Source organism: Homo sapiens, chromosome 1 (assembly GCF_000001405.40).
Source record: "Homo sapiens chromosome 1, GRCh38.p14 Primary Assembly".
In the NCBI taxonomy this organism is placed as follows: domain Eukaryota; kingdom Metazoa; phylum Chordata; class Mammalia; order Primates; family Hominidae; genus Homo; species Homo sapiens.
This window is the reverse complement of record NC_000001.11, coordinates 72,978,810-73,003,834: the sequence shown is the minus strand read 5'-3', so window position 1 is coordinate 73,003,834 and position 25,025 is coordinate 72,978,810. Positions and strand designations below refer to the sequence as shown.

Here is a 25,025-nt window from a genome sequence, read left to right as displayed (position 1 = left end):
TTCATTGACTTTAAGTGTAGAAGTCAATGACTTGACAAATGTATATATTTATGTAACTACCTTAAAAAGTGAGATGTAGAAACCTTTTGTATCACCCCCAAAGTTCCTGCACCCCATTGTGCAATTAATCCCTTCCTCAAACCACTGGTCTCTGAAACTGCAGCTCTGATTTCTGTCACAATTTTTACGTCTTCCAAAATTATTTTATAAATGGAATAATAAAATATGTGTTTCTTTGTGTCTGTTCTTTTTCCTGTTAGCAAAATGTTTTAGAGAGTCATGCATGTTTTTGCATGATTGTGAATCTATTTTTATTACTTAGTAATAATGGTGTATTCCATTGTCTGTATATACCTCACTTTGTTTATTTTTTCAGAATTGATGACATTTTAATTGTTGCCAGTTTTTAGCTATTGGAAATAAAGATATGAACATTTGTGTCTAATTCTTTGTGTGGATATATGTTTTTAATTTTTCTATGTATACATCTAAAAGTGAGAATCCTGGGTCATATAGTAGGTGTGTGTTCAACTTCTTGTGAAACAACTAAACTGTTTCCCAAAGTATTGCATTCCCACTAGTAACATGCAAAAGTCATAGTTGCTTCACTTTTTTGCCAATATCTATCTTGTTAATTCTTTCAATTTTAGGCTTTGCAGTAGTTGTGTAGTCATATCTCACTGATGTTTTGATTTGCATTTTCCTAAAACAAATGATGTTAAGCATCTTTTCATATATTTATTAGCCCTTCTTTGGCGACATGGCTCTTCAGGTCTTTTGTGCAGTTTTTAATATGGTTGATTGTTTTATTATTGCATCATAGGAAATTATGTTTAATACTGTAGGCAAGTTCTTTATTAGATATATATTTTGCAAATATTGTCTTTCAGTCTATATAGCTTGTGTTTTTATTTTCTTTATAGTGTCTTCTGATGAGCATGTACTTTTAATTTTGTCAAATGTCAATATAGATTGTTTTTTGTAAAAGATTCGTACTTTTTGTGTCCTAAGAATTTTTGCCTAAACCAATGTTACACAATTTTTTTCCTATTTTTTCTACAACTTTTATAGATTTAGTTCTTGTGTTTAGGTCTATCTTTATTTCAAGATAATTTCTGCCTATGATATGAAATAAAAGTTGGGATTCAGTTTTTCCATATAACAATTCAATGGCTTTAGCAACAGTTGTTATAATTATTACCCCTTTTATTAAACTACTTGGGCACCTTGATGAAAATCAGTTGGCTGTGGATCTGTTTCTGAACTTTATATTTTGCTCAGTTGATTTGTATTATCTATCCTTATGCCAACACCATTCTCTTTTGATTACTGTAGTTTTAGAATAAGTCCTGAAATCAGGTATGTTAAGTCCCCTAACTTTGTTTCTCTTTTTCAAAAATTGTTTTGGCTATTCTAGGTTATTCACATTTCCAAATAAATTTAATAATCGGATTGTCAGCTGTTATAAAATATTTAATTTCTAGAAAATTGCCAATTTTAAAAATAAGCTCCAGCACTTATTAGCTCTGCTACTTTGGATTGTTAGGTAGTCTATCAAATATATCTATTTATTTCTACTTACTAAAACAGAAATAATGATACCACATTCATAAAAGACTTATTGAAATAATGTTACAATGGTGATAGCGACCCAGTTTGTTTGAAACATATTAGGTATTCCTGAAATGTCTGTTCCGCTCAATGTAATTTTCCCTTCTCCAAAACATAAACAGTTTAGATTCCTGTGCATCAATAATTACTGGATTTTAAATGTTTGACACTTACAAGGATAAATTTAGGTGCAAATCTAAGTTCTTGAATTTCACTGAGTTGATTCCACTAACAACTTTTTACAGATGCAGTAAAGTTTAGGCAATTGAGATTCCAAAATCCGGTGACTCAAATATAAGCACCATATGGATGGATGGTTCTTGTAACATATGCAATTACTGTGGAATTTAATTGAATGAAATATATTATTAGTATTGGTCTTCATATTCTTGAATTGAAGTACATGTTAATATGTTTTCTCCCACTGCTCTTCATTTATAAAATGCTAGTTTTAACTTATTTTAAAAGGCAATATCAAAAATCTATGTTGGAAGCTCCCGGTTAATGACCCAATTGGAAACCTTGAGCGTAACCTGCAACACTGAGCATTAAGTTTTACACACTCCTGAAAACCTTTGCATACTTGCCAAAATCTTAACAACTTCAATGCATTTCCATTCTGATCCTAAGAACCTTCTTGCTTTGCTACTTCCGTGCTTTAAACATTTAGCTTTATCTGGTTTTGCTTGTATGGATAAAAAAAATATAATGGTGTGAAAAAAGTAGACAAATTCTGTTAGTAAAATCTAATAATATTTGCTAATTTACTTTGTATTATATGTTGGGATTCCTTAGGGTGCATACATATTCAATTACTTTCTTTGCCTCCAGACTCTCAGTATTATCACATTCACCTAATTGTCTTGACTACCCGTGATGTTGATCACTGATAAATAAATTACTCCAGATCTCTGTGACTCAAACTAATATTTCTGAATTTCAATTATATATATTTTCTGGATGTCTTCAAGCAACTCAAAATGAACATGTTCAAGAAAATTATCTCCTCTCCTAATCTATATTTGGTATTAATTTTCTTTACATTTAATTGACTTTTTTATTAATAATACAGCACAAATTCAATGTAGATAGTATTAGAATAACAAAAACGATAACAATATAAATCACCACTGATTTAATCATAAAGCAGGAATCATTTTATTAGCCATACCATTTATTCACATATATTTATTTATATGTTTATGTGTCTTAAAATTACATGAAACTGAGGTAAAAACACACAGGATAAGAAAAGGATTGCATTAATTATACTCCCAAAATTCATAGTGTATCTCCATCATTAACTTCTCCATTCATGGTTTGTTTATTTACTTATTTTTATTCCCATGCTCCTACCCCTGTCTCATCCTGTCTCTCAGATAACAATTCTAATATAGCCCAGGCATTTATCATATTTAAATGTCTGTTAGAAAAATGTATGCCAATGTTTTAGGGCTATGTATTTTTAATTTACATTAAACATGTTTAATGCATCATTGTCTCTCTCTTCTTAATTAAAAAAAAAGTTAAGTGTATTTTTTAAGATCTACCCATGTTGCTAGTTTTAAAGCTATTCCATTTTTTATTGTTGTATGAGAACACATGGTCCACATTCATCGTATTTTGCCTACATAAATATGTTACGGAGACTGAGAGTATTCAAACATTTGAACACAGGTAATGAGTCAATGAATAGCCTAGAACATGTCTCCTCACATACTGTACAAAGATTTCCCTGGGATATACACTTAGGACTGGAATTGCTGGATCACAGGGTATGTTTGACTTAATTTGAATAATTAGTACCAAAATGCCTTCTGAATGGATACCTCAGCCTACATTTTCTTGTAGAGAGCATGAGGATTTTTATACTCCTACTTTTCTGCTTTTGTGTCACTTTATGTCACTTTATACTTTTTCCTAATAGGTGTAGGTTAAATTTATTTAATTTAATGTGAATTAATTTGATTACAAATGTTTACCTATGTCTCAATTAATGCCTTTAAATCATACATTTCTGTAGTTGCTATTACATCAGGACTTAATCCTGATATTATTTTCCTTTTATTGTTGCCTCCTTTTGTTTCCTTTCTCTCTTGATTTTTCTTAAATAGACTGAGATTAATTCTGCTTGTCTAAAAGTTCTATTTCTTTTTCTGTGTTGGTACTATGCTATCTAAGAGTCGTCCTCACACATACATTATGAGTCTTGGGGACAAATCTGCTGAATGGTCATTTCTGATATTATATTATAATATTACAGTAACTTGAACAATTTTCTGTATATAAATGATAAGGTCAACATCTATTAAATAAAACATTAAAATGTTATTCAATGGCCCCTTGGTTTTGTGTATATATATATATATGTGTGTGTGTGTATATATATATACATATATAGATGTTTATGTATATTTATGTATAAAGTTTTTTCTGTCTTATTTATGTCCTGTTGCTCTCTGCAGGAGAGACTCACACTGATCTTCCAAATCATTTTTTTATTTTTCTTTATCCATTCTACTATTTTATCTTTATCTATTGGGTTACCTTTTTTAAAACTATATTTTTGATATTTAACATAGCCACTTAATGTTATCTTATTTTTTCAAATAGCTAATATCCTTTATCTTTCTAAATGCATTCATCATTGTTTTAAGTTCTTGGTTTATCTGTTCCAACGCTTTTGCTGTAGATTTCATAGGTAGTTCAGCTGTTTTATTTTGAGTTGGAATCTTCACTTGTTATTGTGTTCCCCTAGGCTTTTAAACGCCTCTCTGGAAATGAGTACTAGGGAATGGTCAAGGCTAGGCTCTAGTCTGCATTAGTCTTTGGAAAGAGCCCAAGTTTTGACAGCTATAGACCACATAGAGCCATATGGATGGTTCACATTTCTTTTCACTCAACAAGGCACTTTTCTAGCCAGGTACTGTTGCTAAGTCCTTGTCTTATATTAAATCAAGTAGTGTTTCCACCTTTAGAAAATCTAGATAAGGACCCTACTATAGCTATTGCTTCTGTTCTTTAAATTTCATGGAATTTTCATACCACTTAAAATTATTCTTTATAATAAACTACCTTTACTTATTTGGTATGAGGTAGTCTTATCACTAATACAGCCAAAGTAAAACTATGTCTGATATAATTCTAGGCAAAAATACAAGCCTTCTGGAAAAAGAATTTCTATTTAAGAGCAGATTAAGTCATTGGGACTGTTTGGAGCTTTATTTAATCTGGTGAAGCTAAAGGTTCATACTAGAAGCATTATTCACTGCCTGACAAATTTTGATACTAATAATGTAGTTCAATCAGAAGGCCAGCTTCTTCTTCTGCTTAACAAGAAAAACTACTAGCAATGAGAAATTAAGTGAGCCAGTAAGTGTTGTACATTTGCTTTAAGTACTAAAACATCACTGGCCTGTTTTTTCTAAGAAGTCACATCTTTTCATTCTACTTTGGAATATTGTGCTGGCTAATTTTATTTTATAAACATTTTATGTTTTTAATATCTGTTTTTAAATAAACATTTTATTTAGGAAAAAAACAAAGGAGGGATGTTATTCTGTGAAATACCTTCAGTTGTCTAACCTGCATTTCTAATGATTCAATGTTGAATTTGTAAAAACTTTTCCTCAGTTACAAAAGTTTTTTTTTTTTTTGTCTAGCACATCAATATAATCATTATTCCTTTTTCTACTCATTGCTGAGACAAGAAAAACACTAGCTTTATGATGAACAGAGAAGGATCTATCAGGCCCCAGTCACTTTTCATGAACTAAGGACTGATGTCAGTGACTGTCAGATACAAGTGATTTTCTCCATAAATCTCCTTTTCCGTGCAAAAGTGAATCATTGTTCCCTAACACTGTACTGGCTTTTGTTCAGGTTTTCTGTTATACAAAATTTAATGAGAACAGCCACCAAAAAACATCAAGAACTAAGTATGTGTCAGAGAGAAATCCTCAAGTTTGCTGAGATACTCTAATTACCTGTGCTTTCTTTTTGATATCAACCCTTTAAAAAAAAAAGATGAAAAAATTCTGTCTCCTGAAGATCCAATATTATGGTCACTAGTGTGCGTGTATGTGTGTGTGTGTGTGTAATACATTATGTATACAATTACAGGTTCAGTCTAATAATATGACTTAGATTTAAATTTAACTTTAAGAGACCTCATGGTAGAATATATTTCCTACCCTGGCCAGGCCCCAGTTATAAGACCCTCACTTATTTCTTGTATTTCCTCTGCAACAAACATCTCTGGCTTTACTGCTCCTGTTTTCTCTTGCCAGGGTCAAGCACCTTGAGGCAGACAGCTGGGCCTCCTTGATGGAAGATTCCCACCTCTATAATTCACCTAGACCTCTCTAATTCACGCCCACCCATCATTTGCCAGAGGTACAGCTTTACAATTGTTCGAACATACCACAAGATATATCTGTTTGCTTTGCCCTTTGGGTACACTAATCTTTTTTTCTGAAACTGTGTGCTTATTGGAGGAGAGGTTATTGTTTCTAGTCGGGGGTGTGAAAAGGTAATGAGAATGTACTTAATTTATGATCGCTGTTTCCATTTGGCTCATCTGTGTTTGTGTGTACTTTCCAGATATTTCCCAAAGGAGCACTTAATTCATCTAAAATATTTCACATATAAATCCACACTTATGTGGTAACTTCACTGACACATGGTATAAACTCATTTCTTTCTATTTGCCACTTTGACTCAATAAGCTCTGGAACGGAAAGTTCCCCTGATCAAATGGAAGAAACAGGAACCCTAATAGAAGGAATATAGGTCCCTTTTCTACTACAATTCCCACATTCTCTCCAAATGAAACCTATAAAACACTTGTAGTTTTATTTTTGCAAAATAATGGAGGGTAAGCTGTTGGATAGAAGAAAGAACTAGTTTAAAGGCTTGCTGATGTTGGAGATTTTGAGTTCTTTATTCTTCATGTTAAAAGCCTTTGGAAGAGCAAAAGATTATATCCGTGTCGGAATTTTACTATGGTGGAGATCAAATGCCACTGATTCATGCTCATTAGGGCTGCTTCTCCCTCACCTGGATGGCTTAAAGAAGTCTTTATGAGAGCTCAGTGAGGATTAACTTCATACACAAGAATAATAAGAAAAAAATCTGTATGGTTGGTCTTAATTTGTGAGAGAATGAGATCATTTCGTTATTATGCTCTAGGAACCTTTAAAAATTTTAAATACATTATAGCCACAAATATACGTATTAAATCCTTTAAAATCTATGAAAGATTGGGTTACTACAATGGCACTTTTATTTTATACTCAGTAAGAGAAAACCTGGTGTTAGTTTTCTTAAGAGTAAAAATAGAAAGCTTACAACTGATTTCCCTTTGTTGAATTTAGCTAATCAAAGAGATTGCATACTATAGTAGGTTGTGTGTGTGTGTGTGTGCATGTGTGTGTGTGTTTGTGTGTTATAATCCATAATTTTAATTAAGAAGACAGGAAGCATCTACTCTATTTCTATCAACATAGAACATATTATAAATGTACATACAAACATACTTTCTAATAGTGATTTATCTTTATCTTATTGCCATTTACTATCAAAATGACTTTAAAAAGCCTTTAAAACAAATGACCTCACTATATCATGGGAGGACTTGGGGACCAGAAAATGGAAGGGCACATTTAGAGTTATAGTGTCAATTAGTGTTTGTTTTCCTATCCCCAAACTTTACACTCTCCAGGACACCCCATAACCTCTTTTAAAGCTACTTACTATTATGAAGAATTAATGTGACCAAATATTGGCTAATAACTTCATTGTGCTATGCCTATATTTAATATCAAATCCATATTTATAGATGAAAAATCTCTAATACAGAAAAAGAACAATGTTCCTCTATGCTATGTAGTAACTCACTATTCTGTTTTTATAACATTTTGTTGAGTTCATAAATTAATATTTTTTTAGGATTTACTATATACTAGAATACCATACTAGTATTAAAATGAGAGCAAAAATAAGATAGCAATTGTAATTAAAGTAATTATATTTCTATTATTTCACTTATCATAATGAGTAATATTTATGTTTTGCATATCTGTCTCCTCTAAACTTTTCCCAACAGCATTCTAATATTGAAAAATACAGATTGTCTTGTGAATATAACTAATTAATAAACCAAATATTTTCTTTCAATTACAATAGAGCCTAATTAGAATATCATAAATTAAAATATGTATAATTGATTCAACTCATTATCAAGATCTTGTGACCAGACATTTTAATGAAAACTTTTAATTTTCTTTCTTTAATTAATACATGGGAATCTCCTCTCTCTGCCCTAATACAATATAAACACCAAAAATATCTCTGGTGTTCAATTCTGTCTCCTCTCTCAAGAGTAATGCATTTGAAGAAGTTAAAAAAATATGCCTCAACCAGAATCCCTTAGTTCTGAGGGCTTCACCCAAGCCAAACTCACAGGATAGAAATATAAAGGAGATGAGATATGACCCAGTAGAAATTGAGACACATTAAGTCCTGCCCTATCTCCTACATTATTGTCAACTACTAAAGAATTTTTCACTTCTTTTACTTTGCATTTTTCTAGAATCTGGTGATCATAATCTAAAAGGGAATTTCTACCACTCCTTTGAGAAGTGTATGTAACCTGTCTTTTACACTGAAGGATATGGTTTCAGGAAAGGAACAGCTAATCTTTATAGATTTTGCTCAGTCATGATTGACTATGGTTAGAGTTTGTCTAAGGCCTTCATTTGCAAGCAAGGTTAGTCTAATCCCTCTATGGCCTGGCAGATGATCAGCTTCTGTGTTTCATGGATGCTTGAAGAAATGGATATGCTATCAATATTGGATGTCTTATTCTATAGATGTTGATTAGATCAATGTTATTTTTGTTCCTCAGATATTCTATATGCTTGATGAATTATTGTCTGCTTTTTTGATCAGTTATTGAGAGAGGTGTGTTAAAGTTTCCTCTAGGAGTAAGTATATGTCTCTCCTCTTAATTCTGTCTGTGTTTTCATTATATATTCTAAAGGTATATTATTGCATGCAAAGAGATTCTTCATTGTTAGATATTCTATTTTCATCATAATGTAAGGCCTTCTATATCTCTTGAAACTTTTCTTCCTTAAAGTCTATTTTTTTCTGTTATCAGTATAAATGTACCAGATTTTGTGTGTTTGCAGAGATACAAGGAGGAATAGGGATACTGTTTGCAGTGTGTATCTCTTCCACACATTTAGTTGCAAAATTGCTATGCATTTTTCTATGCACTTACTTGTAATATGTTTCTTACAAGTAGGATATTGTTTTATTCACCATGTGTGATAATCTTTCTTTTTTATCTAGAATTCAAATACATTTTATGTAAATAATGACATACAGATCTATTTTTTGTTGTCTATTATTCCTGTTTTATGTACCCTTTCTCTACTTCCTTCTCTTCTTTCACACCGCTCAGATATATCTTACTTATTCCATTTTCCTTTTGCCTTAAAATTATTCACTTTTAAATAATTTTTAGTGGTTACCCTAGAAATGAAAACAAGGCCCTACACTTTGCATACTCTAACACAAAGCATTGTGCAGCAAGGTAAGCATTTAGATAGTTATTTAACAAACATTATGCCAGAGTAATAATAAAACAATACAAATAGTTATTAGCCAAGCATGACAGTGGAGAGTTTAGTCTACTGGGAAGCTGTATGCACAGAGGAAGTGTGCAAAAAATCAATGGAAACTTTCTTAAGATTAAAGGAATTTCAATATGTCTTAGACATTTATATATGGGTTAGCCAAGCAAATCGAGTATATGAGGATGAGAAGAATGGGAGGTTAATTAGAAGCAGAAGAAGCACTTGCATAAAGGGAAACCATTGTATAGTGAATATGGGTATAAACTAAAATTAAAATTCTAAGCCCCTTAACAGACTGAATGGACCTTCTCTTGGCCAAAGAGAACCCAGAGTAACCTTGAAAACTGAGTTCTCAGCCATGACATGAGGGGATCAGATACACCTTGATATACATCCTCCCTTGCCAACCATAATTAGGCTTTCTTCCCTATGGGCTTAACAGAAACAAGCCATTTCAAAAGACTCTGCCACTGATATCAACAAACCATCTACATTTTCTGTCCCTCCTTTTTTGCCTGATAAGTAATCACCAACCATGGAGTGGTTCTGGCTTGTCTATGGAGAACTATGAACATGCAGTAAGAGATTTTGTGTCCACAGCTTCATCTTTTGATGTCAGAGGGCCACAAACTACACACTCAGATCATGCTAACGTGGTCATTTTTTTGTACATGAATTCCATAAGGGAGCATGAATCTCAATTGCCCACGGGTATATTTCTCCTTTCATAAACATCCAGGACTCCTCGATAGCTTATTAAATATTTGGTCGCCACACTCAGCATAAATTCCTTTTCTCTGTTTCCCTCCCTCAAAATATATGTTTCCAGTTTCTGGCTGGAGGCAGTGCCTCCCAACCTGTCTGAATGGACACTCTGAAGGCTGCAGCACTTTATGAGAAAAAAGGCTCTCCTTTCCAAATGTATGAAACTCACCATTCTTCAGTTGACTTAGGGAACTGCGAAGTAAAGGTAGGAATTGTCAGGCCTCTGAGCCCAAGCCAAGCCATCGCATCCCCTGTGACTTGCACATATATGCCCAGATGGCCTGAAGTAACTGAAGAATCACAAAAGAAGTGAATATGCCCTACCCCACCTTAACTGATGACATTCCACCACAAAAGAAGTGTAAATGGCCAGTCCTTGCCTTAAGTGATGACATTACCTTGTGAAAGTCCTTTTCCTGGCTCATCCTGGCTCAAAAAGCACCCCCATTGAGCACCTTGCGACTCCCACTCCTGCCCGCCACAGAACAAACCCCCTTTGACTGTAATTTTCCTTTACCTACCCAAATCCTATAAAATGGCCCCACCCTTATCTCCCTTCGCTGACTCTCTTTTCGGACTCAGCCTACCTGCACGCAGGTGAAATAAACAGCCATGTTTCTCACACAAAGCCTGTTTGTCTCTTCACATGGACGCACATGAAATTTGGTGCCATGACTCCTCGGATCGGGGGACCTCCCTTGGGAGATCAATCCCCTGTCCTCCTGCTCTTTCCTCCATGAGAAAGATCCACCTACGACCTCAGGTCCTCAGACCAACCAGCCCAAGAAACATCTCACCAATTTCAAATCCGGTAAGCGGCCTCTTTTTACTCTCTTCTCCAACCTCCCTCACTATCCCTCAACCTCTTTCTCCTTTCAATCTTGGCACCACACTTCAATCTCTCTCTTCTCTTAATTTCAATTCCTTTCATTTTCTGGTAGAGACAAAGGAGACACGTTTTATCCCTGGACCCAAAACTCCGGCACTGGTCACGAACTGGGAAGGCAGCCTTCCCTTGGTGTTTAATCATTGCAGGGACGCCTCTCTGATTATACACTCACGTTTCAAGGGTGTTGGACCATGCAGGGACACCTGCCTTGGTCCTTCACCCTTAGTGGCAAGTCCCGCTTTCCTGGGGCAGGGGCAAGTACCCCTCAACCCCTTCTCCTTCACCCTTAGTGGCAAGTCCCACTTTCCTGGGGCAGGGGCAAGTACCCCTCAACCCCTTCTCCTTCACCCTTAGTGGCAAGTCCCACTTTCCTGGGGCAGGGGCAAGTACCCCTCAACCCCTTCTCCTTCACCCTTAGCAGCAAGTCCTGCTTTTTTACAGGGCAAGAACACCCAATCCCTTATTTCCATGCCCCAACCTCTTATCTGTGTGCCCCAATCCCTTATTTCCACACCCCGACCTCTTATATCTCTGTGCCCCAATCCCTTATTTCCACACCCCAACCTCTTATCTCTGCACCCCAACCCCTTTTCCAACTTTTCTGGAAGGTAAGAACCCCCAAACCCCTTCCCTCCATTTCTCTACTCTCTTTTCTCTAGGCTTGCTTCCTTCACTATGGGCAACATTCCACCCTCCATTCCTCCTTCTACTCCCTTGGCCTGTGTTCTCAAAAACTTAAAACCTCTTCAACTCACACCTGACCTAAAACCTAAATGCCTTATTTTCTTCTGCAATGCCGCTTGACCCCAATACAAACTCGACAGTAGTTCCAAATAGCCAGAAAATGGCACTTTCAATTTTTCCATCGTGCAAGATCTAAATAATTCTTGTCGTAAAATAGGCAAACGGTCTGAGGTGCCTGACATCCAAGCATTCTTTTACACATCAATCCCTTCCTACTCTCTGTGCCCAGTGCAACTCGTCCCAAATCTTCTTTCTTTCCCTCCCGCCTGTCCCCTCAGTACCAACCCCAAGCTTCGCTGAGTCTTTCTAATCTTCCTTTTCTACAGACCCATCTGACCTCTCCCTTCCTCCCCAGGCTGCTCCTCGCCAGGCCGAGCTAGGTCCCAATTCTTCCTCAACCTCCACTGCTCCACCCTATAATCTTTTTATCACCTCCCCTCCTCACACCTGGTCCGGCTTACAGTTTCGTTCCGTGACTAGCCCTCCCGCACCTGCCCAGTAATTTACTCTTAAAAAGCCAAAGGCATAGTCAAGGTTAATGCTCCTTTTTCTTTATCCCAAATCAGATAGCGTTTAGGCTTTTTCATCAAATATAAAAATCCAGCCCAGTTCATGGCTTGTTTGGCAGCAACCCTGAGACGCTTTACAGCCCTAGACCCTAAAAAGTCAAAAGGCCGTCTTATTCTCAAAATAAATTTTATTACCCAATCTGCTCCCGACATTAAATAAAACTCCAAAAATTGGAATCTGGCCCTCAAACCCCACAACAGGACTTAACTAACGTCACCTTCAAGGTGTACAATAACAGAAAAAAGTTGCAATTCCTTGCCTCCACTGTGAGACAAACCCCAGCCACATCTCCAGCACACAAGAACTTCCAAACGCCTGAACCGCAGCAGCCAGGCATTCCTCCAGAACCTCCTCCCCCAGGAGCTTGCTACATGTGCTGGAAATCTGGCCACTAGGCCAAGGAATGCCCACAGCCCAGGATTCCTCCTAAGCCACGTCCCATCTCTGTGGGACCCCAATGAAATTCGGACTGTTCAACTCACCTGGCAGCCACTCCCAGAGCTCCTGGAACTCTGGCCCAAGGCTCTCTGGCTGATTCCTTCCCGGATCTTCTTGGCTTAGCGGCTGAAGACTGACACTGCCCGATCACCTTGGACGCCCCCTAGACCATCACGGATGCCCAGCTTCGGGTAACTCTCACAGTGGAAGGTAAGCCCGTCCCCTTCTTAATCAATACAGAGGCTACCCACTCCACATTATCTTCTTTTCAAGGGGCTGTTTCCCTTGCCTCCATAACTGTTGTGGATATTGACGGCCAGGCTTCTAAACCTCTTAAAACTCCCCAACTCTGGTGCCAACTTAGACAATACTCTTTTAAGCACTCCTTTTTAGTTATCCCCATTAACTAAATTATCTGCTTCCCTGACTATTCCTGGACTACAGCTATATCTCACTGCCGCCCTTCTTCCCAATCCAAAGCCTCCTTTGCATCCTCCTCTTGTATCCCCCCACCTTAACCCACAAGTATAAGATACCTGTACTCCCTCCTTGGCGACCGATCATGCACCGCTTACCATCTCATTAAAACCTAATCACGCTTACCCCACTCAATGCCAATATCCCATCCCGCAGCACGCTTTAAAAAGATTAAAGCCTGTTATCACTCGCCTGCTACAGCCTGGCCTTTTAAAGCCTATAAACTCTCCTTACAATTCCCCCATTTTACCTGTCCTAAAACCAGACAAGCCTTACAAGTTAGTTCAGGATCTGCGCCTTACCAACCAAATTGTTTTGCCTATCCACCCCGTGGTGCCAAACCCATATACTCTCCTATCCTCAATACCTGCCTCTACAACCCATTATTCTGTTCTGGATCTCAAACATGCTTTCTTTACTATTCCTTTGCACCCTTAGTCCCAGCGTCTCTTCGCTTTCACTTGGACTGACCCTGACACCCATCAAGCTCAGCAAATTACCTAGGCTGTACTGCCGCAAAGCTTCACAGACAGCCCCCATTACTTCAATCAAGCCCAAATTTCTTCCTCATCTGTTACCCATCTTGGCATAATTCTCATAAAAACACAAGTGCTCTCCCTGCCAATCGTGTCCAACTGATCTCTCAAACCCAAGCACCTTCTACAAAACAACAACTCCTTTTCTTCCTAGGCATGGTTAGCGCAGTCAGAATTCTTACACAAGAGCCAGGACCACACCCTGTAGGCTTTCTGTCCAAACAACTTGACCTTATTGTTTTAGCCTAGCCCTCATATCTGTATGCAGCGGCTGCCACTGCTTTAATACTTTTAGAGGCCCTCAAAATCACAAACTATGCTCAACTCACTCTCTACAGTTCTCTTAACTTCCAAAATCTATTTTCTTCCTCATACCTGACGCATATACTTTCTGCTCCCCAGCTCCTTCAGCTGTACTCACTCTTTTTTAAGTCCCACAATTACCGTTGTTCCTGGCTCAGACTTCAATCCGGCCTCCCACATTATTCCAGATACCACACCTGACCCCACATGACTGTATCTCTCTGATCCACCTGACATTAACCCCATTTCCCCAAATTTCCTTCATTCCTGTTCCTCACCCTGATCACGCTTGATTTATTGATGGCGGTTCCTCCAGGCCTAATCGCCACACACAGCAAAGGCAGGTTATACTATAGTACAAGCCACTAGCCTGCCTCTTAGAACCTCTCATTTCCTTTCCATCGTGGAAATCTATCCTCAAGGAAATAACTTCTCAGTGTTCCATCTGCTATTCTACTACTCCTCAGGGATTATTCAGGCCCCCTCCCTTCCCTACACATCAAGCTCGAGGATTTGCCCCCACCCAGGACTGGCAAATTAGCTTTACTCAACATGCCCCGAGTCAGATAACTAAAATACCTTAGTCTAGGTAGATACTTTCACTGGATAGGTAGAGGCCTTTCCTACAGGGTCTGAGAAGGCCACCGCAGTCATTTCTTCCGTTCTGTCAGACATAATTCCTCAGTTTAACCTTCCCACCTCAATACAGTCTGATAACAGACGAGCCTTTATTAGTCAAATCAGCCAAGCAGTTTTTCAGGCTCTTAGTATTCAGTGAAACCTTTATATCCCTTACGGTCCTCCATCTTCAAGAAAAGTAGAACAGACTAAAGGTCTTTTAAAAACACACCTCACCAAGCTCAGCCACCAAAAAGGACTGGACAATACTTTTACCACTTTCCCTTCTCAGAATTCAGGCCTGTCCTTGGAATGCTACAGGGTACAGCCCATTTGAGCTCCTGTATAGACGCTCCTTTTTATTAGGCCCCAGTCTCATTCCATACACCAGACCAACTTAGACTGTGCCCCCAAAAAAACTTGTCATCCCTACTATCTTCTGTCTAGTCATACTCCTATTCACCGTTCTCAACTACTTATACATGCCCTGCTCTTGTTTACACTGCCGGTTTACACCATTTTTCCAAGCCGTCACAGCTGATATCTCCTGGTGCTATCCCCAAACTGCCACGCTTAACTCTTGAAGTAAATAAATAATCTTTGTTGGCAGGACTATGCTGAATCTCCTTAGGCACTCTCTAATCAGATATCTTGAGTCGTCCCAATTCTTAGACCTTTTATACCTGTTTTTCTCCTTCTGTTATTCCATTTAGTTTCTCAATTCATCCAAAACCATATCCAGGCCATCACCAATCATTCTATACGACAAATGTTTCTTCTAACATCCCCACAATATCACCCCTTACCACAAGACCTCCCTTCAGCTTAATCTCTCCCACTCTAGGTTCCCACACCATCCCTAATCCCGCATGAAGCAGCCCTGAGAAACATCGCCCATTCTCTCTCCATATCACCCCCCAAAAATTTTTGCCGCCCCAACACTTCAACACCATTTTGTTCTATTTTTCTTATTAATATAAGAAGGCAGGAATGTCAGGCCTCTGATCCCAAGCCAAGCCATCGCATCCCCTGTGACTTGCACGTATATACCCAGATGGCCTGAAGTAACTGAAGAATTACAAAAGAAGTAAATATGCCCTCCCCCACCTTAACTGATGACATTCCACCACAAAAGAAGTGTAAATGGCTGGTCCTTGACTTAACTGATGACATTACCTTGTGAAAGTCCTTTTCCTGGCTCATTCTGGCTCAAAAAGCACCCCCACTGAGCACCTTGCGAACCCCACTCCTTCCCACCAGAGAACAAACCCCCTTTGACTGTAATTTTCCTTTACCTACCCAAATCCTATAAAATGGCCCCACCCTTATCTCCATTCACTGACTTTCTTTTCGGACTCAGCCCACCTGCACCCAGGTGATTAAAAGCTTTATTGCTCACACAAAGCCTGTTTGGTGGTCTCTTCACACGGACGCGCATGAAAGGAATAATATGGAGCACAGACCAAACATGAATCTTGTAATCATTTCCCATTCTCTGGGGTATGTGAATATGTTGTTGGGAAGCTATTAATGTGATTTAGACAGAGAAGTGACAGGCAAACTGAGGTATTACAATATATGAAGTTTTGAGTCTTCAGAATGTATGTTAGTAGTTAAAATAATTTCACTAGAGATTATCCTCGGGCTGTGTGCATGTCAGAATTTGAGGAGAAAATTCCACATGTTAATAAGTGAGATGAAGTAGAACCCATAAGGAAGTAAAGATGAATGGCCTTAGTGGTGTGAGAGGTAGCAAAGTGTGCTATGAAAAGCAAGAAACAGGAGTTTTTCCAAACAGATACCATGATCAACAATATTAAATACTGCAGAGGTGCCCACCAGGATCCTAAGCTGAAAAATATGCACTGAGTTGGATAAGTATGGTGTCGTTGAGGACCTGAATAAATGACATTTCAGATTTTGCAGAAATGAGTTGGTGGTAAGGGAGTGACTATAGTAACAGTGATCAAAGGTTTGAGTTATTCCAGATAGATATAACAGGGAGGAGTTGAACAAAATTGAGATTGAGTTTAATAAAGAACATGACACATCCAGAGAAATGTAGAGAAGAGTGGTAAGTGCCATGGTAATCAACTTGCCAGCCTTCTGTGAAGTGGGATTACGGAATGCGTTTTAACAAAGAACATAGACAGCAGAGTCAGAGAGACCTGTACCACACCTGAGAGATTTTGAGCCTCAATTGGCTCTCTGTAATACATATGAGCCTGTTTTTTGACACCTGAAAAAAAACTGTATTAAAGTACTTAGAATAGTGCTGAGAAGAGATGGCTTAGATAAGTTTCTTTACCATCTTTGGCAGCACAATTAGCAATCTTGAATCACAAAAGGATCAATGTTTGCAGGTTAAATGGGATCTCTGAATGAGAATGTCACAGATATACACACTGGCCACATGACTTTAATAATGTTTCTTATTTTTGCTCACAGCTTGTACTTAACTTCTAACAATGGGACTTCTGCTTGGCCTTGAAAGTGAGACTCAACTTTGTTCCAAAGTTCCATTCTTTGTGTCAATATCTTGTAGCTCCACACATGCATTTTGATCTTTGCAATCTACAGGCCCCAGGATTCCTAGGATGCCCTGCATTCATTCCCAAAAGATTATACAAGCTCTATTTCAATTAGCATGACCAAATCCTCTTCTTTAAGATCTAGTTCAGTCTCTACTTCCTGAAAGCCTTTTCTGATCGCATTTAATAATTTTTTTTAGCACTCATCCCTAACTATATCGCTTCTTGAATAACCCATATTTGGGTGACCTCTCTTGAAGCATGTATCATGTTTTAATTTAATTCTCAATTTAAGTTTTGGTGTGTTACATGTTATCTATCCAACTTGAATATGTGTTCCTTGTGGAGTTTTGTTATTTTGTATCCATACAAAAAAGCTGGTAATGACATCATACTTAAGATAATACTTTAATAGATATCTTTGAATACTGAATTATCTGTTAAATACTGTATGGTTACTCCAAGCAAAGAATGCATGTATGTTGCTAGTAAATTATTTGAGAATGTTCAGCTGTCCTTATAATGTGCATGAGAACAACTTATATCTCAGTCAAATTCTCTCCATGGAAACAGAAGCTTATTTCATAGAGAATACCACTGATTTCTGTGGTAGGTAAAGCAAAGCTTGATATTCAGAGTGTTTTTGTTTTTGTTTTTGTTTTTTTAACTGGACCTTCACACACAAGCAAACACAAGAGTCCTGTTTAAATAGATTACAAGTGTAAAGTTATTTAGGAATCAGTTATGTTAAGGATCCACTTTAGAAACATATTTTACCCAAAAAGAAGATTACCACCGTAATTCAACTTTACCTTTAAAAGAGCATTCTTCATTTAAACCTAGGACAGCAGACCATCAGTTATCCACTCAGCGAAATTGTCTAACCAGTGATTTGCATGATTCATGGAGTAAAATGAGAGGATAATTTTGAGGGAGCAAAACACTTAGCATAAAACAGGCGTCAAGGTACTCAAAATTATTAGTACATAGAAATGTCCTGTTCTGCAATGTTCAAATACCTGAATATTAGGCTTTCCATGACAATATCTCATTACAATACATTTTCTAAATTTTACAAGTTTTGACATGCTTATAAATTATCCCCAACTTAGAATCTACATGTACAGGCACCTGTAAAAGTAATATCAACCTTCTGCTGTGCACAGCATAGTCACATACACTTTTATTTCCTTTCTCTAAGACACAGCGTAGCCTTAACTGTCAGGCCTCTGAGCCCAGGCCAAGCCATCACATCCCCTGTGACTTGCACATATATGCCCAGATGGCCTGAAGTAACTGAAGAATCACAAAAGAAGTGAATATGCCCTGCCCCACCTTAACTGATGACATTCCACCACAAAAGAAGTGTAAATGGCCGGTCCTTGCCTTAAGTGATGACGTTACCTTGTGAAAGTCCTTTTCCTGGCTCATCCTGGCTCAAAAAGCACCCCATTGAGCACCTTGCGACCCCCACTCCTCCCCGCCACAGAACAAACCCCCTTTGACTGTCATTTTCCTTTACCTACCCAAATCCTATAAAACGGCCCCACCCTTATTTCCCTTCGCGGACTCTCTTTTTGGACTCAGCCCGCCTGCACCCAGGTGAAATAAACAGCCATGTTGCTCACACAAAGCCTGTTTGGTGGTCTCTTCACACGGACGTGCATGAAATTTGGTGCCGTGACTCGGAGTGGGGGACCTCCCTTGGGAGATCAATCCCCTGTCCTCCTGCTCTTTGCTCCGTGAGAAAGATCCACCTACGACCTCAGGTCCTCAGACCAACCAGCCCAAGAAACATCTCACCAATTTCAAATCCGGTAAGCGGCCTCTTTTTACTCTCTTCTCCAACCTCCCTCACTATCCCTCAACCTCTTTCTCCTTTCAATCTTGGCACCACACTTCAATCTCTCCCTTCTCTTAATTTCAATTCCTTTCATTTTCTGGTAGAGACAAAAGAGACATGTTTTATCTGTGAACCCAAAACTCCAGCGCAGGTCACGGACTGGGAAGGCAGCATTCCCTTGGTGTTTAATCATTGCAGGGACGCCTCTCTGATTATACACTCACATTTCAAGGGTGTCAGACCACGCAGGGATGCCTGCCTTGGTCCTTCACCCTTAGCAGCAAGTCCCGCTTTCCTGGGGCAGGGCAAGTACCCCTCAACCCCTTCTCCTTCACCCTTAGCGGCAAGTCCCGTTTTCCTAGGGGGCAAGAACCCCCCAATTGCTTATTTCGGCAACCCAACCTCTTATCTCTGTGCCCCCATCACTTATTTCTGCACCCTGACCTATTATCTCTGTGCCCCCATCCCTTATTTCTGTGCCCCAACCCCTTCTCTGCTTTTCTGGAGGGCAAGAACCCTCTGCCCTTTCTCCCTGTCTCTACTCTTTTCTCTGGGCTTGCCTCCTTCACTATGGGTAAGCTTCCACCTTCCATTCCTCCTCCTTCTCCCTTAGCCTGTGTTCTCAAAAACTTAAAACCTCTTCAACTCACACCTGACCTAAAACCTAAGTGCCTTATTTTCTTCTGCAATGCCGCTTGACCCCAATACAAACTCAACAGTAGTTCCAAATAGCCAGAAAATAGCACTTTCAATTTTTCCATCCTACAAGATCTAAATAATTCTTGTCATAAAATGGGCAAATGGTCTGAGGTGCCTGACGTCCAGGCATTCTTTTTACACATCAGTCCCTTCCTAGTCTCTGTGCCCAGTGCAACTCATCCCAAATCTTCCTTCTTTCCCTCCCGCCTGTCCCCTCAGTACCAACCCCAAGCGTCACTGAGTCTTTCTAATCTCCCTTTTCTACAGACCCATCTGACCTCTCCCCTCCTCGAAGGGCTTAGCTAGGTCCCAATTCTTCCTCAGCCTCCACTGCTCCACCCTATAATCTTTTTATCGCCTCCCCTCCTCACACCTGCTCCGGCTTGCAGTTTCATTCCGTGACTAGCCCTCCCGCACCTGCCCAGCAATTTATTCTTAAAAAGGTGGCTAGAGCTAAAGGCATAGTCAAGGTTAATGCTCCTTTTTCTTTATCCCAAATCAGATAGCGTTTAGGCTTTTTCATCAAATATAAAAATCCAGCCCAGTTCATGGCTCGTTTGGCAGCAACCCTGAGACGCTTTACAGCCCTAGACCCTAAAAGGTCAAAAGGCCAACTTATTCTCAATATACATTTTATTACCCAATCTGCTCCCGACATTAAATAAAACTCCAAAAATTGGAATCTGGCCCTAAAACCCCACAACAGGACTTAATGAACCTCACCTTCAAGGTGTGTAATAACAGAAAAAAGTTGCAATTCCTTGCCTCCACTGTGAGACAAACCCCAGCCACATCTCCAGCACACAAGAACTTCCAAACGTCTGAACTGTAGCAGCCAGGCATTCCTCCAGAACCTCCTCCTCCAGGATCCTGCTACACATGACGGAAATCTGGCCACTGGGCCAAGGAACGCCCGCAGCAGCCCGGGATTCCTCCTAAGCCGCGTCCCATCTGTGTGTGACCCCACTGAAAATCGGACTGTTTAACTCACCTGGCAGCCACTCCCAGAGCTCCTGGAACTCTGGCCCAAGGCTCTCTGACGGATTCCTTCTTGGCTTACCGGCTGAAGACTGACGCTGCCTGATCACCTCAGAAGCCCCGTAGACCATCTCGGACGCCAAGCTTTAGGTAACTCACAGTGGAGGGTAAGTCCGTCCCCTTCTTAATCAATACAGAGGCTACCCACTCCACATTACCTTCTTTTCAAGGGTCTGTTTCCCTTGCCTCCATAACTGTTGTGGGTATTGACGGCCAGGCTTCTAAACCTCTTAAAACTCCCCAACTCTGGTGCCAACTTAGACAATACTCTTTTAAGCACTCCTTTTTAGTTATCCCCACCTGCCCAGTTCTCTTACTAGGCTGAGACACTTTAACTAAATTATCTGCTTCCCTGACTATTCCTGGACTACAGCTATATCTCATTGCCACCCTTCTTCCCAATCCAAAGCCTCCTTTGCGTCCTCCTCTTGTATCCCCCCACCTTAACCCACAAGTATAAGATACCTCTACTCCCTCCTTGGCAACTGATCACGCACCCCTTACCATCTGATTAAAACCTAATCACCCTTACCCCACTCAATGCCAATATCCCATCCCACAGCACACTTTAAAAAGATTAAAGCCTGTTATCACTCGCCTGCTACAGCATGGCCTTTTAAAGCCTATAAACTCTCCTTACAATTCCCCCATTTTACCTGTCCTAAAACCAGACAAGCCTTACAAGTTAGTTCAGGATCTGCTCCTTATCAACCAAATTGTTTTGCCTATCCACCCCGTGGTGCCAAACCCGTATACTCTCCTATCCTCAATACCTGCCTCTACTACCCATTAGTCTGTTCTAGATCTCAAACATGCTTTCTTTACTATTCCTTTGCACCCTTCATCCCAGCCTCTCTTTGCTTTCACTTACACTGACCCTGACACCCATTAGGCTCAGCAAATTACCTGGGCTGTACTGCCGCAAGGCTTCACAGACAGCCCCCATTACTTCAGTCAAGCCCAAATTTCATCCTCATCTGTTACCTATCTCGGCATAATTCTCATAAAAACACACGTGCTTTCCCTGCTGATCGTGTCGGATTAATCTCCCAAACCTCAATCCCTTACAAAACAACAACTTCTTTCCTTCCTAGGCATGGTCAGTGCAGTCAGAATTCTTACACAAGAGCCAGGACCGCACCCTGTAGCCTTTCTGTCCAAACAACTGGACCTTACTGTTTTAGCCTAGCCCTCATGTCTGCGTGCAGAGGCTGCCGCTGCTTTAATAATTTTAGAGGCCCTCAAAATAAGTAGAGGCCTTTCCTACAGGGTCTGAGAAGGCCACTGCAGTCATTTCTTCCTTTCTGTCAGACATAATTCCTCAGTTTAGCCTTCCCACCTCAATACAGTCTGATAACAGGCGAGCCTTTATTAGTCAAATCAGCCAAGCAGTTTTTCAGGCTCTTAGTATTCAGTGAAACCTTTATATCCCTTATGGTCCTCCATCTTCAAGAAAAGTAGAATGGACTAAAGGTCTTTTAAAAACACACCTCACCAAGCTCAGCCACCAAAAAGGACTGGACAATACTTTTACCACTTTCCCTTCTCAGAATTCAGGCCTGTCCTCGGAATGCTACAGGATACAGCCCATTTGAGCTCCTGTATAGACGCTCCTTTTTATTAGGCCCCAGTCTCATTCCATACACCAGACCAACTTAGACTGTGCCCCCCAAAAAACTTGTCATCCCTACTATCTTCTGTCTAGTCATACTCCTATTCACCGTTCTCAACTACTCATACATGCCCTGCTCTTGTTTACACTGCTGGTTTACACCATTTTTCCAAGCCGTCACAGCTGATATCTCCTGGTGCTATCCCCAAACTGCCACTCTTAACTCTTGAAGTAAATAAATAATCTTTGCTGGCAGGACTATGCTGAATCTCCTTAGGCACTCTCTAATCAGATATCCTGAGTTGTCCCAATTCTTAGACCTTTTATACCTGTTTTTCTCCTTCTGTTATTCCATTTAGTTTCTCAATTCATCCAAAACCATATCCAGGCCATCACCAATCATTCTATATGACAAATGTTTCTTATAACATCCCCACAATATCACCTCTTACCACAAGACCTCCCTTCAGCTAAGTTCCCATGCTGCCCGTTATCCCGCTTGAAGCAACCCTGAGAAGCATTGCCCATTCTCTCTCCATACCACCCCCCCAAAATTTTCACCGTGCCAACACTTCAACACCATTTTGTTTTATTTTTCTTATTAATATAAGAAGGCAGGAATGTCAGGCCTCTCAGCCCAAGCCAAGCCATCGCATCCCCTGTGACTTGCATGTATACACCCAGATGGCCTGAAGTAACTGAAGAATCACAAAAGAAGTGAATATGCCCTGCCCCACCTTAACTGATGACATTCCACCACAAAAGAAGTGTAAATGGCCGGTCCTTGCCTTAAGTGATGACATTACCTTGTGAAAGTCCTTTTCCTGGCTCATCCTGGCTCAAAAAGCACCCCCATTAAGCACCTTGCGACCCCCACTCCTCCCCTCCACAGAACAAACCCCCTTTGACTGTCATTTTCCTTTACCTACCCAAATCCTATAAAACGGCCCCACCCCTATCTCCCTTCGCTGACTCTCTTTATGGACTCAGCCCGCCTGCACCCAGGTGAAATAAACAGCCATGTTGCTCACACAAAGCCTGTTTGGTGGTCTCTTCACACGGACGCACATGAAATTAACCACCATTACAATTTTGGTGACTTCCTTCCAAATTCTTATCCAGTTCACCTAGCTGAAGTTCATTTTTAAATATTTTAAAGAGATTAGAAAGAAAAGGGTTCTAAGTAAGAAAACCCCAGATTTATGACTATTTTTGCGAAAAATACAGTGGTTTGAATGAGAAATATCATAATTTGGATAATGCCACCTGGAATAGAACATATTTTTCCACTTTGTGTCATGAAAATATATTTGAAAGTATGAGAAAGGTTTTGATCCCCAATGTCTTATGGCATTCTAAATTCGTATGCAATGTTATAATATTAAATATATTTTAGCATTAAAATATATTATTAATATCTAGTTTTGAATATCTTTCTCTAGACAACGTGATTATATGTAATGGTAAAATTAATATATAGTTAATATTTTCCTAGGTTTTGGCACTGCAGGAGTTTACTGGTATTTTAAATATTATAATATTTTTGCTATTGTTTTGCCAGTTCTGCTGATGAATTGCTATTTTATTTGTGAAAGAACATATGTTTGAAAGAAGATAAATCTATGTCCATTAGTCATGCTAAAATAGAGTTTATTTGTAGCAGAGGATAGAGGATTCCACTCATTGCAATAAACTTTTATTGCTTAATTTGGTTCCATGCCCTCATTCTAGACATTGTGAATATGGAAATGAACTAGAGATTGTTATTTCTTCATAAACTGATTAAGAATACAGTAATGTAAACAAAGAACTATAATGTATTATGATGAGTGTTATGATGGAGATATACTTAAAGTAGCAGTGGAATACAGGTGATGGGGATTATAATTCTGAGTAGGAAATTAAAAACAGAAAGGGGACCCACAAAGAAAAGCAACATCTCAGTTGAGTTTAGAAAAAGTAAATGTTTCCCAGGAAGAAACAATGCATCATTTCTATATGAGAAAAATTTTAATCTCTTGCCCTAACTTTCACAGAGCCATGTAACTTTTATACCTTACAACTTAAGTTCTTACTATAGAACCTTTCTCCATTTCTATTCAGCTGAAAAAAAATTCTATGAGAAATAGCCAACCAATGATTTTTATTTTGCATAGAATAAATATATCAAGAAACCATTCTAAGAAAGTCTCTACTATTCTGGGAGATTTTGATCTATGTTATACAGTAACCACAACAAATAGGTAAAGCACAGAATTGATTAAAAATATGAAGTCAGCCAGTTGTGGTGGCTCACACCTGTAATACCAGCACTTTGGGAGGCTGAGGCAGGCAGATCACCTGAGGTCAGGAGTTCAAAAGCAGCCTGGCCAACATGGTGAAACCCCATCTCTACTAAAAATACAAAAATTTTCCCAGCGCAGTGATGTGTGCATATAATCCCAGCTACTCAGGAGGCTGACACAGAAGAATCACTTGAACCCGGGAGGCGGAGGTTGTAATGAGTGGAGATCGCGCCATTGCACTCCAGCCTGGGTGACAGAGTGAGACTCCATCTCAAAAAAAAAAAAAAAAATACTAAGCCACTTAATTTTTGCATGAGGTATAAGTAAGGGGTCCAGTTTCAATTTTCTGCATATGGCTACCCAGTTCTCCCAGCACCATTTATTAAATAGGGAATCCTCACCACATTGCTTGCATTGCTTGTT

The 25,025-nt window shown here is 39.2% G+C and overlaps 6 annotated features.

Moving 5' to 3' along the window:
• Nucleotides 15,168-15,887: an enhancer, noted in NCBI's record as "OCT4-NANOG-H3K27ac hESC enhancer chr1:73453631-73454350 (GRCh37/hg19 assembly coordinates)". NCBI's record gives its function as "activates a minimal SCP1, AML or CMV promoter by ChIP-STARR-seq in primed H9 embryonic stem cells {active_cell/tissue: H9 hESC(primed)}" and the evidence as "EXISTENCE:reporter gene assay evidence [ECO:0000049][PMID:30033119]".
• Nucleotides 15,888-16,607: an enhancer, noted in NCBI's record as "OCT4-NANOG-H3K27ac hESC enhancer chr1:73452911-73453630 (GRCh37/hg19 assembly coordinates)". NCBI's record gives its function as "activates a minimal SCP1, AML or CMV promoter by ChIP-STARR-seq in primed H9 embryonic stem cells {active_cell/tissue: H9 hESC(primed)}" and the evidence as "EXISTENCE:reporter gene assay evidence [ECO:0000049][PMID:30033119]".
• Nucleotides 16,608-17,328: an enhancer, noted in NCBI's record as "OCT4-NANOG-H3K27ac hESC enhancer chr1:73452190-73452910 (GRCh37/hg19 assembly coordinates)". NCBI's record gives its function as "activates a minimal SCP1, AML or CMV promoter by ChIP-STARR-seq in naive and primed H9 embryonic stem cells {active_cell/tissue: H9 hESC(naive and primed)}" and the evidence as "EXISTENCE:reporter gene assay evidence [ECO:0000049][PMID:30033119]".
• Nucleotides 18,998-19,864: an enhancer, noted in NCBI's record as "H3K27ac hESC enhancer chr1:73449654-73450520 (GRCh37/hg19 assembly coordinates)". NCBI's record gives its function as "activates a minimal SCP1, AML or CMV promoter by ChIP-STARR-seq in naive H9 embryonic stem cells {active_cell/tissue: H9 hESC(naive)}" and the evidence as "EXISTENCE:reporter gene assay evidence [ECO:0000049][PMID:30033119]".
• Nucleotides 22,534-23,059: an enhancer, noted in NCBI's record as "OCT4-NANOG-H3K27ac hESC enhancer chr1:73446459-73446984 (GRCh37/hg19 assembly coordinates)". NCBI's record gives its function as "activates a minimal SCP1, AML or CMV promoter by ChIP-STARR-seq in naive and primed H9 embryonic stem cells {active_cell/tissue: H9 hESC(naive and primed)}" and the evidence as "EXISTENCE:reporter gene assay evidence [ECO:0000049][PMID:30033119]".
• Nucleotides 23,060-23,586: an enhancer, noted in NCBI's record as "OCT4-NANOG-H3K27ac hESC enhancer chr1:73445932-73446458 (GRCh37/hg19 assembly coordinates)". NCBI's record gives its function as "activates a minimal SCP1, AML or CMV promoter by ChIP-STARR-seq in primed H9 embryonic stem cells {active_cell/tissue: H9 hESC(primed)}" and the evidence as "EXISTENCE:reporter gene assay evidence [ECO:0000049][PMID:30033119]".